General features: G+C 38.1%; 1 protein-coding gene and 1 long non-coding RNA gene across 16 annotated transcripts in view; one reads left to right on the forward strand and one right to left on the reverse strand.

Annotated features, from left to right (window-relative positions):
* Positions 1–21,670, reverse strand: part of IQCM (IQ motif containing M) — a 464,135-nt gene that overhangs the window by 153,019 nt on the left and 289,446 nt on the right. The window lies entirely within an intron of this gene.
* Positions 12,153–16,537, forward strand: LOC105377479 (uncharacterized). Its single transcript, XR_939327.1, has 3 exons — positions 12,153–12,226; positions 15,517–15,671; positions 16,510–16,537. It is a non-coding gene; the product is annotated as an uncharacterized LOC105377479 (long non-coding RNA).

A 21,670-nucleotide genomic window follows, 5' to 3' on the forward strand; every position in this document is an offset into this window, starting at 1 on the left:
ATATGGTAAATCCTGTCTCTACTAAAAATACAAAAATTAGCCTGGCATGATGGCAGGTGCCTGTAATCTCAGCTACTCAGGAGGCTTAGGCAAAAGAATCGCTTGAGCCCAGGAGGCAGAGGTTGCAGTGAGCTGAGATCGTGTCAAAGCAAGACTCTGTCTCAAAACAACAGAGAGAGAGAGAGAGACCCTGGGAGGGCTCCTTTATCCCAGCAAGAAGACTGTCTATGAACCAGGAGGCAGGCACTTATCAACATCAAGTCTGCTGGCAGCTTACCATAGATTCCCCAACCTCTAGACCTGAGGAAAAAAAATTCTGTTGATCATAAGCCACCCTGTCTATAGTGTTCTGTTATAGTAGTCCAAGTGAACTAAGACAGCAACCTATAGTGTTACACATGGCAGCTCAGATCCCTATTATTATGCTCCCATTATATTATAATGGGAAAAAGGGGGACAGCGGGCATAACATTGACATTTCTGAATATATCACCTCAAACATACGTACGAAAGAAAACAGAAATTGCTCAGTTATAGAACATCAATGACTAGATGTAATTTTAAAATAATCTTTGTTTGACATATCTATTGAGTAGAGTTTCTTAAAGGTGTTCTATACTTTAAAAATGAGAGTTTATAGTTACATTGTATTGACGAATACTCTTAGAGTTTCCCAATATATGTTACCAAATTAAAGGCTCTGAAAACTTTGGAAAGATAAATTTTTCATCTTCTTTAAGATTCCCAAAACTTGTATTTTTTAAAATGTTGCTCTATAGTTTTTACCTGATCATATACAAATGTTTTGAAACACTGTCATAAAGAAAAGCATAAAGAAGCAAGTATAAATCATCTGAAATCCTGCCATCCTGAGATAATCACCAGAAACAGTTTGTTGCTGACCTTCTCTTCTTTCATTTTTCCATGTCTATATAATCACACCATCAAACATGTGTATTTAGAGATCATTCTAAAATGCTGTTGTTATTTGTGAATGCGTTTGTTTTCCTTTTTTCTTTTCTCTCACCCCTCCATTCTCCATTCTCTATCTAGAAAATCAATATAAAAAATCTGGTTGTTACTTTTCCCCACATTTATATAATCATGTACACATTTTTACATAACAGAATGTTAAATGGAATTGACCCTGTACTCTGACACTGGCCTGAAGCCGTAAGCAGAAGATGATGAGTAGTAAATGTCAAAACATTCTAAATTTGTTAAGGAAAGGTCCTGGATACATTTTTACAAGGCTTTCTAAAAGGGGAATACAACTGGGCCTGTGACTCTTACTTATCCACAAGATCTAGCCTACATATGAAGATTTATTTATACAAAGAGGTACTGACTTAAAAGAGTGTGAATCAGCCTTTCCTCTTTCTACTAGTGGAGTGGATGCTGCCCTCTCACCTATCAAGCCAAGAGCAGGAGTGGAGAACGAGGAAGATGGCCATAAAGTCCTTGGGAACATTCAGGGGTATGTGCATAAGGAGATTCTGCCACAGTTATTTTCTGGATGGATGCTTGATAACCCAAGGAAACTCATTAGCCTAACTAGTCCTTCATCTACCTCTATTGCAAAAGGATTCTTTGAAAATATTATATATCCCTACAAGAATTTGGAAGAATACATGATAAAACTAAAAGCTGCTTGAATTCCCTGACATCAGAATAAGGAGAGAAGAGTGCAACAAGAGTAAAATACATTTCCATAGATGTGGGGCAAGAGGTTAAGTTTTCCATGTCAAGTGATACTATCATTGTAAGTAAGCTAAAGCTGCCTTGAAAGGATCCCTTTTTAGGGTGCTTGGCAGAAGGAGAGGGCCCAGGATATATACCCTTTGGAAAGAAGTTAAGAGAAAATAATAAAAGGCTAGACTAAACGTGTATCACTCAAATTAGAAAAAGGTAGAATATAAAAAGCCATAGTACCAGGTTGCTGGAGGTAGTAGTGTTTCTAAAGAATCCACAAATAATTCCTAAGAGAAAAAGCTAGCAACAGTTAGACATCTGTTATGACAGACAGCATAGAGGAACCAAGAAAAAATTCCCAATAACATCAGCCATTGCCTGGTTACCTCTTATCTCCCCTTCCTGCTCTGACACTGCAGTGTCAGAAGCAGCAAGAGTGTGAGGGGAAAGGTAAGAACAAGATAGAGCAATAGTGAAAGAATAAATGATACTGCATCACTACCCAGCTGATAAGGTTGGCTGTGCCCCCACCCAAATCTCACCTTGAATTCCCACATGTAGTGGAAGGGACCTGGGGGCAGGTCTTTCCTATGCTGTTCTCATGATAGTTCTCATGAGATCTGATGGTTTTAAAATGGGAGTTTTCTTGCGCAAGCTTTCTTTTCTTGTCTACTGCCAGTGTGTGATGTGCCTTTCACCTTCCACCATGATTGTGAGGCCTCCCCAGCCATGTGGAATTGTAAGTCCAATAAACTCTTTCTATTGTAAATTGCCCAGTCTTGGGTATGCCTTTATCAGCAATGTGAAAACAGACTAATACAGTAAATTGGAACAGCAGAGTGAGGCGCTGCTGGAAAGATATCTGAAAGTGTGGAAGCAACTTTGGAACTGGGTAACAGGCAGAGGTTGAAACAGTTTGGAGGGCTCAGAAGAAGACAGGGAAATGTAAGAAAGTTTGGAACTTTGGAGACTTTTTGAATGGCTTTGCCCAAAATGCTGACAGCGATATGGAAAATAAAGTCCAGGTTGAGGTGATCTCAGATGGAAATGAGGAACTTGTTGGGAATTGGAGCAAAGGTGACTCTTGTTACCTTTTAGCAAAGAGACTGGTGGCATTTTGCCCCTGCCCTAGAGATTTGTGGAACTTTGAACTTGAGAGAGATGATTTAGGATATCTGGCAGCAGAAATTTCTAAGCAGCAAACATTCAAGAGGTGACTTGGGTACTGTTAAAGATATTCAGTTTTAAAGGGGAAGCAGAGCATAAAAGTTTGGGAAATTTGCAGCATGACAATGCAATAGAAAAAAAAATCCCATCTTCTGAGGAGAAATTCAAGCCAGTTGAAAACATTTGCATAAGTAACAAACAACTGAATGTTAATCCCCAAGACAATGGAGAAAATGTCTCCAGGGCATGTGAAAGACCTTTGCGGCAGCCCCTCCCATCACAGACCCAGAGGTTTGGGAGGGAAAAATGGTTTGGTGGGCTGAGCCAGGGTCCCTCTGCTGTGTGCAGTCTAGGGACTTGGTGCCCTGCATTACAGCTATAACTAAAAGGAGCCAAGGCACAGCTTGAGCTGCTGCTTCAGAGGGTGGAAGCTGCCAAGCCTTGGCAGCTTCCACATGGTGTTGAACCTACGAGTCCACAGAAATGAAGAATTGAGGTTTGGGAACCTCTGCCTAGATTTCAAAGATATATGGAAATGCCTGGATGCCCAGGTAGAAGTTTGCTGCAGGGGTGGGGCCCTCATGGAGAACCTCTGCTAAGGCTGTATGGAAAGGAAATGTGGGGTCAGAGCCCCCAAACAAAGTCCCTACTGTGGCACCACCTAGAGAAGCTGAGAGAAGAGGGCCACCATCCTCCAGACTCCAGAATGGTAGATCAACTGATAGCTTGCACCATGTACCTGGAAAAGCTGCAGACACTCAATGCCAGCCCATGAAAGCAGCCAGGAAGGGGGCTGTGCCCAGCAAAGCCACAGAGGCAGAGCTACCCAAGACCATGGGAACCCACCTCTTGCATCAGCATGACCTGAACATGAGACATGGCGTCAAAGGAGATCATTTTGGAGGTTTAAGATTTGACTGCCCCACTGGATTTCAGACTTGCATGGGGCCTGTAGCCCCTCTGTTTTGGCCAATTTCTCCCATTTGCAATGGTTGTATTTACCCAATGCCTGTACCCGTATGTGGGAAATAACTAACTTGTGTTTGACTTATAGGCTCATAGGTGTAAGGGACTTGCCTTGCCTCAGATGAGACTTTGGACTATGGACTTTTGAGTTAATGCTGAAATGAGTTAAGACTTTGGGGGATTGTTGGGAAGGCATGATTGGTTTTGAAATGTGAGGACATGAGATTTAGGCAGGGCCAGGGGTGGAATGATATGGTTTGGCTGTGTCCCCACCCAAATCTCATCTTGAATACCCACATTGTGGGAAAGACCCAGTGGGAGGCAATTGAATCGTGGGGGCAGGTCTTTCCAGTGCTGTTCTCATGATAGTGAATAAGTCTCAGGAGATCGGATGGTTTTAAAAAGGGGAGTTTCCCTGCACAAACTCTCTTCTCTTGTCTGCTGCCATGTGAGATGTGCCTTTTACCTTCTGCCATGATTGTAAGACCTTACCAGCCACATGAAATTGTAAATCCAATAAACCTCTTTCTTTTGTAAATTGCCCAGTCTTGGGTATGCCTTTATCAGCAGAGTGAAAACAGACTAATATACCAGCCTTCCCTTCATCATCCTCAATATGTTTTGCAGAAGCCAAGATCCAGCCTGAGCTAGGGGTATGGGAGGCAATTTGAACTGTTTGGGAGATTGAAGTTTTGATATTAGATTAGATTTGACTTTTTCTTTTTTCTTTTTTCTTTTTTTTTGAGACAGGGTGTTGCTCTGTTGCCCAGGCTGGGGTGCAGTGACACAACCATAGCTCACTGCAGCTTCAACCTCTCAGGGCTCAAGTGATTTTTCTGCCTCAGTCTCCCCAGTAGCTGGAACTACAGGCATGCACAATTATGCTCAGCTTTTTTTTTCTTCTTTGCAGAGATGGGGTCTTGCTATCTTGCCCAAGCTGGTCTCCTTGGCCTCCTAAAGTGCTAGGATTACAGCATGAGCCACCACACCCAGCCTAGATTTTTATTATCTAAAAATATGACTGGAAAAAAACAAGAAATCTGACATCAAGATATAATCTAAGGCCAAGAAAGGGAGATCTGAGAAAAGTCTGCTTATTAGTGGAGGAAAGCAAAAATTATTTAATTAGTGTAAGGTATCGAGACTTCCACTTTCACTGTGTATATAAATATATATCATTAAATTTATAAAAGGCAATTGTATTTTATATATTTATCTATATCTTTTTTTCGAATTTGGTAAAATACTCTGGAAAGCCTCCCAAACCTTGATTCTAATTCATCCATAATGATTGCTTTGAATCTTTGGTCCAATGTACTCACCTGTTTTTCATCATTCTCATATTAATAACTTTCTTTTCATTTCAATACTTTTTGTTGCTCAAAAAATCCCACTGCAATATCTACCCTTATTTTATGCTAACTTTTACTTTTATGAAATCATAGAAGCAGAAAGCATGAGTCTGTTTGCTAGGAAAATGTATGCATATTATATTCTAATATATTGCCAACATGATTTCCACAAAAATATAGCAAAATTTCCACGTGCAATATATGAAAATGCTAAATTTTTGGAATCCTTGTTAACACCAGAAATTACCACTCTTTTAAATTTTTAACAATTTACTGGGTTAAAAAGCGATTATCTCATTGTTTTAATCTGCATTTCTCTGGCTACTGGTAAGACTGAGCATGGTTACTGGTCATTCGAATGTACTCTTCTGGGAAATTCTTTATAATAAAATTGGCCTATTTTTCTAGTCAGTTATTTGTGTTTCTCTTATCAATTTAAAGAATCTTTGTGTGGTATAGAATTTAAATATTTATATCCCAAGTATTACAAGTATTATTTGCAAATCTATCATGTCATAGCCATACACTGTTTTTCACTCTTTTACAATAAACATTTTTTATTTTGGAAGAATTTTAGATTTATAGAGACATTGTAAAGATAGTATAGGGAATACTGAAATCCCCTCACCTGTTGCCATCTTCCATCATCATGAGACATTTGTTAAATCTAATAAATATCAGTATTGATATATTACTGATACAGGATGCCATATTATATTTATTTGTTATGTCTTTCTGGTATCCTCTGGTTTATGATAGTCTCTCAGGCTTTCTTTCATGATCTTTACAGTTCTGAGGAATACTAGTCAAGTATTTCATAAAATGACCCTAAATTTGGATTTGTCTGATATTTTTCTCATAATTAGACTGGGGTTATGTGTTTGTAGATATAGTGTCATAGAGTGCCCTTCTCATCACATCATATCAGGCAGTACCTGCTATCCACACAACATCACTGATGGTAGTAACCTTGATCATTTAGCCAGGTTTCTCCATTGTTAAGTTATTACTTGTCTCTTTCTATACTCTGTTATTTGAAAGCAAGTCACTAAAGGCATACTTTTTTTATAATCAAATGCATAATTTTCATTTAAACTTTTGAGTTTCTTTCCTAAAATACTTCCTCATAGCTTATGGAATAAAGGCCAGCCTCCTTAACATGACCCCTAAGTTAAGTCCATAGAGGATGTCACTGTCAGTATCTTTCTCAGCTTCATTCTGACATGTCTATGATATTCTTCCTTTCTCTCCCTCATCTCTAATTTCGCTGAGTTAAATCTTATTCTTTCTTCAGATACCAACTTACATATCACTTTTTAAAATGTATTTTGTGGCTGGGCACGTTAGCTCATGCCTGTAATCCCAGGACTTTGGGAGGCCAAGGCAGGTGGATCACTTGAGGTCAGAAATTTGAGACCAGATTGGCCAACATGGTGAAACCTCATGTCTACTAACAATACAAAAAAAAAAACAATTAGCCAGACATGGTGGTACATGTCTGTAATCCCAGCTACTTGGGAGGCTGATGCAGGAAAATCACTTGAACCCGGGAGGCAGAGGTTGCAGTGAGCTGAGATCACACCACTGCTGTCCAGCCTGGGTGGCAGAATGAGACCCTGTCTCTAAATAAATAAATAAATAAATAAATAAATAAATAAATAAATAAATATTAAACATTTAAAAAAATGTATTTCGTGAGATCTCCAGTTTGGGTCTGGTGACATATCTCTGTGCTCCCATGGCATGTTGTCCTCCCCTGTCATAGACCTTATTATTGTGTGTTATAATCCTCTGTATCTTGTACTGGACTACACATTACAGCAGAGCAGTGATAGTGTCTATCCTCTTTCCTTTGTATTTCCAGAGGCTAGCATAGTGCCTGTTGCATAATGTGTACTGAGTAAATATTTTATAAACAAATAAATACATGTTGCTTCAAAATACTAATGTCTTGACTGCAGTAGCCCTCAAAAACCTGTGTTTATTGCTCTTAATTTTCAATTATTTATGCATGCCTTTATTCATTCATTTATTCAATCAATATTTATTGTATACCTCCTTTGCGCCAGATACATCCTAAGTCCTAGGTGTTGGGTGCTTAGTGAACAAGACAGACAGGGCCTCTGCTTTCATGACCATAGTGTCATGTACTGCAAAAAATCATGAAACTTTTTAAAAGGTTAAGTCCATTCCAAAAAGTTGTTCATGGGCCACCTTGTGGCTGTCAACACTGACTGGTCAACCCCTTAGGCTCCAGAGCAACATGAGCTCTACTTCATGGGAAATATAAATCAAGTACTCTTATTCCATTGATCAGCTTCCCTTGGAAAGCTTAAGTAAGTAGTTTATAGGGGTTGGGGGGGCAGTGTGGGAATGGGGAATAGAAATATCAAAGAAAGTGGAGAAAATGGTATAGAAATTGGGGATTTCAGCACTGACATGATACCATGCCACAACCTGGTTCTGCAAATTTTATTTCAAATGCTAAGCTAAGAAATTTGGTAGTAAAGATGGCAGTGGCATTGTAGAACTCTTTATTACAGATACTTATTTAGCTTAACTTGAGAGAATTCACAAATATAAATTTTAATGGACAGCTTTTGACATTTTATATTAGGTTTAATTTCTTTCTCTTTTAAATTGTTTGAGTATTTTTATTTGATTTTGTGCAGACAGTTGAATTATTCTACTAAGCCAGAGGTAAAACTTACAATTATGAAATCCAAGCATATTTGTGACTTATGACCCAGCAGCTCATATTACTGCTGACTGGGTGAACCCCAGACCTTCTAAAATATTGAGTAATTCCCATTGAGGCCCTTGCTATTTCTCATAAATATGTGTTTCAAAAAAAATAAAGTCACTATAGTCGTCAGTGTTCTGAATAACTTTTATCTCATAAAGCTGAACTGAAATGTTTTTAATAAAAATACTGTCCTCTACCTACAGTATGATTGCTTGGATTTCTATGTGAATATAACAAAGAGGGATTTAATCTAAGTTTACAATGTCTTATTTAGGCTTATATTTGGGTCCATAAAACACCTCCAGTTTTTCTGTTATATAAATAACCAAGCTGTGTCCTAGATGCCATGCTCAGCTACAGGCCTAATGCAGACTAGTGAACTATTTGTAGCCCAAATTCACTCTAGGTTACCAGTGAACCATAAAGCCTAAAGTTAGCAGAGAAAGAAAATCTAGTCTCTTTATTCCAAAGAGAATCTTTGAAAAATTTACCATTTCCCATATTCCATTTTGCTTCTAAAGGGTATGGAATAATTTAAAACTTGGAAAATATACTCAGTGAGGAGAGAGAGCTGGATATTTCAGAGTATAATGAGCCAATTCCTGAAGATGAATGAGACTTCTGTAGTTAGTGTACTCATCCTATTTATAGTGCCCAAGTCATCCTTATGTTCTTCTTGTCAACTTAGCTTTAAGGCTATTTTTCACTTCCTTTAGAAAACAATACAAATATACAAAACTAATATTCCCTTATAAATAGTAAATGTTAAATGAAAAAAAAGAAAAGAAGGACCACATTTATCCATTTAGTTGTAATAAATAATGCAAGCTTTCCAAATGGAAGTACTAGAATAATTAAGCTAATTTTCCAAAATTATTCTAGTGTATTCAATTATGGATTTTAATTATTTTAGAGAAGCAACTCATAGTGTTAATGAAAGAGACAGAAGTAAAAATCATGGTGGAGTTAGGTTTCATGTTTCTGCATTCTATAAGCTTTATTAGACAATGTTAATCAAATATTTAATGAATACTAAGAGCCTTTTGGGAGAGTAAAATGAATGTTACCATCATGGCTCTGAGAACTAGGTTGAAGTATAATCACAATCAGTTAAGGTAAGTGGATTTCACTGCCAAAGGGAACATTGGTTGTTGAAAAGAGGTCTCTGGAGAATTGTTTGGTATTAAAAAGAAATAATGCTAAAATAAAAATTAAAGCATGCCAAGTTTATGACATAAACTCCTAGATACCAGAAATATTAGGATAATGTTGCTCTTCAATCTTCAACTCATAATAGTCAAAAAGATTCAGCAGAGTATAAATGAACTGAATAGACCCCTTATCATTTCATTTTCTATGTTATGTTTGTTTTATGTGTCACTCAAATATATCTTATACTTTTTGTTTCTGTGGCATCTTGAAAAAGAGAAGAGAAGAATGTAAAAAAAAAGAAACCAATGTTTCTTAAACTAACTGCATTATAACCACTTGGGAGTAATAATTAAAAATACAGATTCCTAGTACTTGACCCAAAACAAATGAATTACTTGCTAGGGTTAGAGTCAGGAATTTGTTCCTTAAATGATCTGCCCAAGTGATTCTTAATCACGTGAAAATTTGAGATCTGCTGAATTAGATTTTTAATTGTGAAAGAACATGCTAAATATATATTAGGATTCCTCTCTTCTCCTCAAACATTATTATGACCATCTGTAAATTATATGAATTCACTTTACCTTCTTAATGAGTATCACATACTAAAATACTTTGCTTATTTGAAGCTAAACAAATCTTACAGAAACTTGTATCAGGCAGCTATTGTTGTGAAACAAACAATGACTATCAGAGGCATAGGATGAAAAGCATTTACTTACCTCATATGTGTTTATCATATCAATGATAAACATTTAGTTAGCTCATGTGAGTCAGGTGGGGTTCATCTGGTCTAGGCTGGGCATAGCTGGGCAGCTATACGCTGCAGGTTGTTTTTCAGTCTGTTAATGTCTCTTAACCTTCTTGGAGCTTGTGATGGTTAATACTGAGTGTCAACTCGATTGGATTGAAGGATGCAAAATATTGATCCTGGGTGTGTCTGTGAAGGTGTTGGCAAAGGATATTAAGAGTCAGTGGGCTGGGAAAGGCAGATTCACCCTTAATCTGGGTGGGCACCATCTAATCAGCTGCCAGCGTGGCCAGAACATAGAGCAGGCAGAAAAATGTGAAAAGGCTAGACTGGTTTAGCCTCCCAGCCAACATCTTTCTTCTGTGCTGGATGCTTCCTGCCCGTGAACATCAGACTCCAAGTTCTTCAGCTTTGGGACTCAGACTGGCTTCCTTGCTCCTCAGCTTGTAGATGGCCTATTGTGGGACCTTGTGATTGTGTGAGTTAATACTGCTTAATAAACTCCCATATATATACACGTGTGTGTGTGTGTGTGTGTGTGTGTGTGTGTGTGTGCAGGCGCCCATAGGTGAATCACAGCAGAGTTCTCTAGGATTTTTAGAGCAAGGCCCTGCCATCTTTTGGAGATAACTACTCCCCTTTTTTTGAGAGGCAGCTCTTGGCCTGTTACTAGGCTTTGGTGGAAACCAAACGTTTGACTATGGGTCATCAAGTCACCATGCGACCTGAATTGCCCATCATGAACTGGGTGCTTTCAGACCCATCTAGACCCATAAAGTGGGTTGTGCACAGCAGCATTCCATCATCAAATGGAAGTTGTATATATGTGACTGGGCTTGAGCAGGTCCTGAAGACAATAGTAAAGTTACATGAGGAAGTGGCTCAAATGCCCATGGTCACCACCCCTGCCACACTGCCTTCTCTCCCTCAGCCTGCACCAATGCTCTCATGGGGAGTTCTCTATGATCAGCTGACAGAGGAAGAGAAGACTAGGGCCTGGTTCACAGATGGTTCTGCACGATATGCAGGTACCACCTGAAAGTGGACAGGTGCAGCACTACAGCCCCTTTCTAGGACATCCCTGAAGGACAGCAGTGAAGGGAAATCTTCCGATTGGAGAGAACTCTGAGCAGTACACTTGGTTGTGCACTTTGCATGGAAGGAAAAATAACCAGATGAGCAATTGTATACTGATTCACGGGCTGTAGCCAATGGTTTGGCTGGATGGTCAGGGACTTGGAAAAAGCATGACTAGAAAACTGGTGACAAAGAAATTTGGGGAAAAGGTATGTGGATGGACCTCTCGGAGTGGTCAAAAACTGTGAAGATATATGTATCCCATGTGAGTGCTTACCAACTGGTGACCTCAGAATAGAGGATTTTAATAATCAAGTGGTTAGGTTGACCCATTCTGTGGACACCACTCAGCCTCTTTCCCTAGCCACCTGTCATTGCCCAGTGGGCCCATGAACAAAGTGGCTGTGGAAGCAGGGATGGAGGTTATGCATGGGCTCAGCAACACAGACTTCTGCTCACCAAGGCTGACCTGCCTATGGCCATTGATTAGTGCCCAATTTGCCAACAGCAGAGACCAACACTGAGTCCTCGATATGGCACCACTCCTCAGGGTGATCAGCCAGCTACCTGGTGGTAGGTTGATTATATTGGACCTCTTCCATCATGGAAAAGGCAGAGGTTTGTCCTCACTGGAATAGACACTTACTCTGGATATGGGTTTGCCTATCCTGCTCACAATGCTTCTGCCAAGACTACCATCCATGGACTCACAGAGTGCCTTACAACCATCATGGTATTCCACACAGCATTGCCTCTGACCAAGGCACTCACTTTACAGCTAAAGAAGTGTGGCAGTGGGCTCATGCTCATGGAATTCACTGGTCTTACCATGTTCCCCATCATCCTGAAGCAGCTGGATTGACAGAATTGTAGAATGGCCTATTGAAGTCACAATTACAATGCCAACTAGGTAACAATACTTTTCAGGGCTGGAGCAAAGTTCTCCAGAAGGCCATGTATGCTCTGAATTGGTGTTCAATATATGGCACTGTTTCTCCCATAGCCAGGATTCATGGGGCCAGGAATCAAGGGGTGGAAGTAGAAGTGGAAGTGGCACCTCTCACCATCACCCCTAGTGATTCACTAGCAAAATTTTTGCTTCCTGTTCCTGTTACATTACGTTCTGCTTGCCTAGAAGTCTTAGTTCCAGAGGGAGGAACACTGCCACCAGGAGACACTATGATTCCAGTAAACTGGAAGTTAAGATTACTACCTGGTCACTTCCACCTTTAAGTCAACAGGCTAAGAAGGGAGTTACAGTGTTGGCTGGGGTGATTGACCCGGAATATCAAGACAAAATTAGTCTACTACTCCATAACAAAGGTAAGTAAGAGTATGCATGGAATACAGGAGATCCATTAGGGCACCTCTTAGTATTACCATGACCTGTGATTAAGGTCAATGGGAAACTACAACATCCAATCCAGGCATGACTACAAATGACCAGACCCTTCAGGAATGAAGGTTTGGGTCACTCCACCAGGAAAAAAAAAAAAAAAAAAAAAGCCATGACCTGCTGAGGCGCTTGCTAAAGGTAAAGGGAATACAGAATGGGTAGTAGAAGAAGGTAGTCATCAGTTCCAGCTATGACCATGTAGCCAGTTGCAGAAACGAGGACTTAATTGGCATGAATATTTACTCCTTCTTTTGTTAAAAACATGTTTGTGCATGTATACACTTGTACTAAGAAAATATCTTCATTGTATTTCCTTTACCCTTTATCATGTGACATAAGATTTATTGACTTCTTATCAGCATTTAAGTATTGTTAACTTTATGTAATAGCATTTGGGTTGGGGATTGGTGAATTTCCAGTTGTGCGAAGGAGAGTTGTATTGTTAGGCATAATTATGACCTTATTATTGTCTTTATTTGAAGATTATGTATGATCTCAGGAGATGTGTATGGGTTCAAGTTGACAAGGGGTAGACTTGTGATGGTTAATACTGAGTGTCAACTTGATTGGATTGAAGGATGCTAAGTATTGATCCTTGGCATGTCTGAAGGTATTGCCAAAGGAGATTAACATTTGAGTCAGTGGGCTGGGAAAGGCAGACCCATCCTTTATCTGGGTGGGCACCATCTAATTAGCTGTCAGTGTGCCCAGAATATAGAGCAGGCAGAAAAATGTGAAAAGGCTAGACTGGCTTAGCCTTCCAGGATAGGTCTTTGTCCTGTGCTGGATGCTTCCTGCCCTGGAACACCAGACTCCAAGTTCTTCAGCTTTGGGACTTGGACTGGCTTCCTTGCTCCTCAGCTTGTAGATGGCCTATTGTGGGACCTTGTGATTGTGTGAGTTAATACTACTTAATAAACTCCACTTTATATACATGTATCTATCCTATTAGTTCTGTCCCTCTAGAGACCCCTAATACAGAGGTTCTTGACTAGTTGAGGTATGTTGTTATAGTAATGACACAAGCATATTTCGAGTCTCTGCTGGTGTCACATCTACTAATAACCCATTGACCAAGGCAAGCGACATGGCCAAGCCCAACACCAAAGGATGAAAAAAGTACATTTCACCTACCATGAGGCTAAAGCTAGTTATATGGCCAAGTACAATATCAAGAATGTAGGGAAGTATACTCCTACCATGAAGGGAGTAGGAGAGTGGAAATGAAAATTTCACAAGCCTCAATGTCATAATTTACTTAGCAAAATAAGAGTAGGTCTCTGTTACCCTAGTGCTTACTGGGTAGATGAGAGACCTGTGAAAGGGTATTCCCTTACTCACGAATCTACCTAAAATATCACTATTTAAGTTTATTCCTTTGAGTTAAGTCTCTCTGATATGTAGGAATCCTGTAGTATAATAAAAGCTCCCCAGAAAGGAAGTAATATTAAGCCTGAAAAGAGCAGTAAATTCTTACATCCTTTTTTTTCCAAATAAGGGGATATTTAGGGGCTGTCTCATTAGCATATTACAAGTCACATGGGTCATATAAAGTACTAGCCAGGAAAATAGGAAGAAAAGAAAGTCAGAGATATTGTGAAAGAAGGTTTTTAAAAACTTGACAACTAATTCAATGGTGTGAAACAAGTGGAAAGAATCACAATGGATTTTAGGTTCCAGTGGATATTAAGATGGAAATGACTCACAGAATATTGTAAAGGTGAAAAGAGAGTTCAGCCAAGGAGCCAGACCAGGGAGAGAGAGAGAGAAATGTAAAAGTCTCAGACAGAAGTTGAGAAAGATGATGAGGTTACTTAAAGAAAGTACTATGGAAACATATAGAAAGCAACAAGGGAGGCACTCTTGAAGAGTTCCTACACTTAGGGAAGAGGTAAAAAGGAAACAAAGAGAGAATATTAAGCTTCCTTGCCCACCAAATCAATCATACAACAAATAATAGATAACAAATCCCATCATTTGATTTAGAGAAAAAAGCAGAGGAAAGACACTAAATCCCATGGTCTGGTTTCTTGTCAAACAGTGCAAGTGACCATTTTTCCCAGATATTACTTTTCTTTTTCTAGATAGAAATCGCCTTTCTGAATCGAGTAAAAGCAAATAAATAAGAGCAGCTTGATGTTATATACAATATACAGTGTTACACAAAGTTGTGATTCATTTTCTACTGGTGTTTAGTGAGTGTTTGACTGTACCATTTTGAATCATTGGAAAATTATTGTAATTTTTTTGCTTCCAAAAAGAATGATATTTGCTTTTCTATTAATCAGACCATACCCTTAAAAGTGCTTTCTTGGCCGGGCGCGGTGGCTCACGCCTGTAATCCCAGCACTTTGGGAGGCCGAGGCAGGCAGATCACGAGGTCAGGAAATCGAGACCATCCTGGCTAACACAGTGAAACCCCGTCTCTACTAAAAATACAAAAAAATTAGCCTGGCGTGGTGGCGGGCGCCTGTAGTCCCAGCTAATTGGGAGGCTGGGGAGGCTGAGGTAGGTGAATGGCATGAACCCAGGAGGCGTGAACCCGAGAGGCAGAGCTTGCAATGAGCCCAGATTGCGCCACTGCGCTCCAGCCTGGGCAACAGAGCGAGACTCTGTCTCAAAAAAAAAAAGATTGCTTTCTTAAAAATGTGCCTCTTAATATATGTGTCATGCTTTTAAAACAGTATCCTGTTTTGGGCTGGGCATGGTGACTCATGCCTGTAATCCCAGCACTTTGGGAGGCTGAAGCGAGTGGATCACGAGGTCAGGAGATCAAGACCTTCCTGGCTAACACGGTGAAACCCTGTCTCTACTAAAAATACAAAAAAAATAGCTGGGCGTGGTGGCGGGTGCCTGTAGTCCCAGCTACTCAGGGGGCTGAGGCAGGAGAATGGCATGAACCTGGGAGGCAGAGCTTGTAGTGAGGTGAGATCACGCCACTGCACTCCAGCCTGGGAGACACAGCGAGACTCTGTCTCAAAGAAAACAAAAACAAAAATAAAACCACTATCCTATTTTATATCCATTAAACAATATGTAGTACAATCGGTTAAGAATGCCCACTAAATAATAATGGTAGGGTAATAATGGTTAACATTTTAAAGTGCTTATCTATAGCCCAGGCATGGCTTGAAGTACTTTCTGTATATTAATTTTTTTATTCCACAAAAAACCGTATATAAGGTGGGCACCATTTTTTTTTTTTTTTTTTTTGCAGGTAAGAAAATCAGAGCAAAGGAAGTTTGAGTAATGCACCCTGGCTCCCATAAATGGTAGATGCAGAGCTCAAACCCACATGGCTGACTCCAGACCTCAATGAAGAACACGTTCCTGTTTTCCTGGGTGGTTCACCATTTTGCCTGTTGTCCCAGGGTAATTATTACTGGCTTGTCCTTTAATTCTCAAAATGTCCTATTTGTGATGATGAATTACATCATTAGCCTACCCAGAACCCAAATCCTTATCAACAACACAATACTGCCTCCTTGGCAGAAAGCTAGCAGTGCTGAGGATGAAAAAGGGGAAAATGAAGAAACTGTTGCTAAGAACAGTGAATAAAGTTAAAATGTACCATCTCAAGGGGCTAGTCATATACCAGGTGTTTTTTTCCTTATTATAGAAATGTAATTTGAATGCTCCAGATGTCACTAACCTGTCAGCAAAAATGCAGTCTCATTAGCTTCAATGAACAAATTCTAGTTACCATCTGGATAATGCCAAGACATCATACTTCCCTCAAAGTCTTTCCCAGTTATGTTAGAGTCTCCAGAAGATATACCACATACCTGTAGACAAAATGCTTTCTAGCTCTTCCACCTTGCCTCCTACTTTGCAGGGACACTGTTCCTATCTCATATGCCCAATAGGAACTGCACTCTCTCAAGCACCCCAGCCTCTCTCGCTGCTCTGCTGTGCACAGCAACACTCTGCTGGTGGCTTCTATGCAGGATCCCAAACTACCCTGAGTTCTGTGATGATGCAGAGCTAAAACAGGACAGCTAGCTAACCCACTCTTTTCTGCAGTTTCTCACTTGGGTCCATAAGAATCTGTTCTTACCCAAAGTGTCATCAAATTATTCATGAATAGTTCTTTCTGTTCATGGTCACAGACCCTCTTTAAACAAGGCCTTAAATCAGGTTATTACTTGGAGAACAAGAGGTGACAAAGAATTAGTCTGTGAGCTCATTTCCTCCTTTTCATCTTTCTTAGCCCCCATGCATTTGAAAGGAAGAGAAGGAGAACAAAAACAAGGAAAGAAAGGAAAAAAGGAAGGAAGGGAGGAAGTCAAGGCAAGGTAAGCGGAAGGGAGGGAGGGGAAAAATAAAAGGAAAAATGCATTTAAAAAATGTTCTCCTCTTTTTTCTACCATGCAAATTATTACCTACTCACAATTTCCATAAAAAAAATCAGTTTTTGTTTCAGAGACAGAAAAATCAATCTACTTTTAGTAATTGTTTAGTTCAGTTTAAATATTTGAATCATTCAAGCTTCCTCAGAATAGGTCAGATGTTTTATGTCAAAATGTAATCCAGATGTCATTCAGTTGAGGAGTCTTGAAATGAATTGACCCTTTAGACAATAATTTGACCAAGCTTTCTCCAAAGCATAAGCTATTACTTAAGTATCTAACAGCGACAGCATTAAAGGCTTCACTGGACTAATTGGGTGTGACTGAGACAAACATGAATTTAATAGTATCTCAGTTCCAGCTTGGGAAATGAAGGTAATGAGTCAGGTTATATTGGCCTTTGGACTCATGCCTGCAGTCCTCTCCCACTGCCATCCAACTGACTGGAATGCTTGCTTTGTCTCCAGACAAGATGGGCCTGGAGAGCATGAGTAAATCCGGGGCTCAGGCCAGGGCTCAGTAGATCTGACACCTGCATCCAACGCAAGAAACACTGAATGCTGAGGGGAGGTTCCTGGGACAAGGACCAAAACACCACCCCTTATTCTGACAGAGCTGCACCAGTAGTGATACAAAACTTAGAAACAAAAGGCTGCCAATTCCAGGGAGCATATGCTAGTCTCCCTCTCACTGGGGGTGTTACAGGGGAGCCAGCAGATAATCCCAGAGTTTCTGACATCTGATGCTAAGAGAGCCTCTGCTGTTAAGACTACCATGGAACAGACAGAGTTATTCTAGTTCCTCTGGAACCTTTCCTGTCACTACCAGCCAGTCCCTGCCAATTCATAGGGCAGGACAGCTGCTCACCCCACCACTATCCAGATTGCCACAGCTTAAAGTAACCAGTAGCTGGCCCTGTCTGCCAAGATATAAAGGACCATAAGTATGCAAAGGAAAATAATGCTATGCTCCAGGAACCCAAGAGTCAAGTAGAAGAAGAAACAGAACACCCAAAACAGATGGCTCCTATCAGAATAGAAGAGATGGAGACAGAATAGCACTTGAACAAAATAACGTAAGAAAACATACCATTAAAGACCAAAAAGACTTTCTACAACAACACAAATATGATTTTCTACTTTAATAATTCAGTGAATACATTGTAAAAAGAGGATAATCATTAAAGCCTGATTTAGTAGCCTAGAAGATACAGAGGAGGAAATAATTCAAGACATAGAGGGGGAAAAAGTGGGGAGAAGGAGGAATTAATATCTCCAGAGTAAAGATAAGCAACATATCAACAGATCCAAAAAATATAACACAGAAATTGAGGTTTTATAAGAAAAAAGTAACTACAGAAGGAAGGGTAATTAATCAACTGATAGAAAATTATATTGCTTGAATTAATCCAAACTTGAATGTACAAGTTGAAAGAATTTATAAAGCTCCAGAGTTCCTATTGGGACTATAAGAAAATACACAAAATAGGTATATCCTGGTAAAATTCCTGAACCCCAAAGATAAAAGAAAAAATTTGTACATGATTCCAGACTGAAAACTATGATATCTTAGTCAGCTCAGACTACTATAACAAAAATACCACAGACTGAGTGGATTAAATGACAAATATTTATTTCTCATGATTCTGGAGAGGCTGGGAAGTCCAAGATCAAGTCACTAGCAGATTAAGTATCTAGTGAGGGAGCAATTGCTTCCTGGTTTATAGAAAACTGCCTTATACTCGTATCCTCACATGGCAGACAGCAGAGAGAGAGGAAGCAAGCGCTCTCCTGTCTCTTCTTATAAAAGCACTAATCCCATCATGACTCACCCTCACAACCCAATTACCTCCCAAAGGCCCATCTCCAAATACCATCACACTGGGGATTAGGGTTACAGCATACAAATTTTGGGGAAATACATTCAGTCCATAGCATGCAATTACAAAGAAAAAAGCATCAGACAAAGTATTGAATTTCTCATCAACAACATAGGAAGTTAAAAGACAGTTGAAAAAAATCCTCAGGTTGTCAGGAGAAAGGAATACAACCAAACATATTTACACAAACAAGGACAGTTCACATGTCACATAAAAGTAAATATATAAATATAAAAATAAATATGTTTATGGAAAGTCAGTATTTTGAGACTACATACCCAAGTATTCCAGCTGAGCATGATGATCAACAAAAAATAAATCAGAAGAAAAACCGCAAGACAGAAAGACAAAGAGGAGAGCAGACAAAGGTGAGCAATAATCATTCACTGGAATATCTACATCAATATTTATAGGTAGATGGATGGGTGGATAGCTGGATCAATTGATGAACTGATTGGTTGACTGACTGATAGATTTATATCAAAATGGAAAATGAGAAAGAGACTGGAATTATACACAAAGTAAGTTCCAAATAAGAATTCTGGAAATGGAATATTAATAATATAAAGAAAAATCCAATGATCTTCAAGTAAAAATAATTAACTTTCTCTGCAAAACCAAAGGAAAAGGGCAGAGTAAACGCATTCTAGACTGAAGAGTGGGTGGAAATAGTAACTTGTTCATACATAATTGCATATATAGTGTTTATAACAGCTTTGTGTATAATAACCCTAACCAGGAAATATATCAAATGTCCATCAACAAGAGAATGAATAATTTATGATAGATAAATTCAAATAACAATTTTATTTGGAAATCCAAATAACAATTTTTAAAATGTAATACTGTTATATACCACATAGATGACTCCCAGAAATGTTAAAAGTGAAGGAAGTCAGACAGAAAAGAGCAGATGCTGTATGATTCCCCTAACAAGAAGTTGACAAATTATTCTATGGTAATACAAGTCAATTTGGTGGTTATCTCTTGGAGTGGTGTACTGACTGAGGAGCAGCACAGGAAATTTTCTGGGGCAATGAAAATGTTCTATATGTTCATCTAAATGGTGGCTACACAAATGTACAGTACAGATATGTAAAATTCATCCAGCTGTAACTTAAGATTTGTGCACTGTAAGATTTAAGACTTAAGAGCTGTAAATTTAAGAGTAGGTAAGTTATGCCTCATTAAAGAAACATTTAAAATAAAGAAACTAAAATTAGAACTCTCTTAGAGAAGAGTGAAAAATGAATACTTCACACCAAAAAAATTAGGAGAACTAGAGTGATAGCTAGAACAAATTTGTAGCATTGTAAAGGGAGAACAACTACAAATAAAGGAACTTAATACACCTCTTTAAAATTTAAATAATAAAATAAGCAAAAAATAAAATTAGTAATGGTAGAAGCTGACATGAATACAAAAGAAAACAGAAAATAAAAGAGTGTAAATTCAAATCCTAGTGGTTTAAAATAATTAATCCCATAGAAAATCTTTGCAAGCTTTCAAAGGAAGAGTAGAGAAGACATACAAGACAATAAGAATGAAAAGAGACATAACCATCTGTAGAGAAAATATTAAAATAAATTATGAGAACATGAAAAACAATTTTATTGTAATATACTTATAAACCTATAATAAATTAAAAATTTCCTAAAACTAATATAAACCAATAGTGGTACCATAAAGTACCACTATTAATCAAAAAAATTGGATATTTGAATAAAGCAATAACTTTAAAGTCAATTGAAACAGGGATCAATGATTTTCCTTTCAAAGAAGCACTGGAACCCAATGTTCCTACCTAAATTTTACCTAATCTTTAAGGAAAAATAATTCCAGTATTTTAATTAAACTTTCCTCAACCCTAGGAGATCACAGAAAAATCTTTATTTTATGAAACCAACATAATCTCAACTGCAAAATTTGAAGTTATCGAAATATCACAGACTAGCTTCATTTATGAAAGTAGATGAAACATTCTACGTAAAATATTACAAAATAGAATGTAGCAAGATTTTCACTATAAAAAAGTATATTTATTTTAGGAAAGTCACTACAATGCCAGCAAATCTGCTAATAAAATGTATTAAATCAAAATATTAAAACAAAAATATGTGATTCATAAATGTTAAACTGGCAATAGATTGAATCAAGCAGTCAATCCTACCAAAAACTTTATAACAGACACATGGATAAATACAACAGAACAAAGGGCCCTTAACTAGATTTAAGCATATATGAGAATTTAATGTACAAAGAATTATTTCCACTTAGTGGTCAAAAGACAGTAAATGATATTGATATACACAAATATCTAGCTGGAAGAAAAATAAGTTGGACCTCTACTCACACCACCTTCAGATATAAGTTCCAGATGTATTAAAGGTTTGTAAAATAATAATTTTAGAAGAAAACATTAATAGGTTCTATGTGTACCTTGGAGTTTGAAAAATGTTTTTAACCAAAAAAAGGTAAACCAAAAGTGTAAATATACACTAACTACATAGAAATTTAAAGATTTCATATTACCAAAGATAACATAAACAAAGGTCATAATTAAATGACTGGTACATTGTTGTAAAATAAATGACAAGTGAAGGATTAATATATAAATAGGGTAAAATGTGCATCAGTAAGAAAAAGACAAATAAAAAATTAAAAAATAGACAAAAATTATAAATAGGCAATCCATAGAAGAGCTACGTATATATGAAGAGCAACTATATATCACAGAAATGTAAATTAAAGTAAGTGTAAATCATTTCACACTCATCACATTGGCAAATACATCTACCATTGGGAATTTAGAAATAAAAAGATGTGCTCAATTTTGCTGAGAAATTTGAATTGATAATCATTCTGGAGATATCAATCAAAATTAAAAATATTTATACACTTTTATCCAACAATTTTACTCTTATAAATCTGTTTCATAAAAATAGAAGCACCAATCCAAAAAGATGTTTGTAAGGGCACCAAACTATAAACAAAGTAAATTCTGACTAACTGGAGAATGACTGAATAGAATGGGGTATATTTATATCATGGAACATTATGAAGACATTGAAACGGGTTAGAAGATTCTCATGGCGATTCCAGACAGTGTAATAAACAATGACCATAAACATGTACTTTCATAT

Source organism: Homo sapiens, chromosome 4, assembly GCF_000001405.40.
Source record: "Homo sapiens chromosome 4, GRCh38.p14 Primary Assembly".
Lineage (NCBI taxonomy): Eukaryota > Metazoa > Chordata > Mammalia > Primates > Hominidae > Homo > Homo sapiens.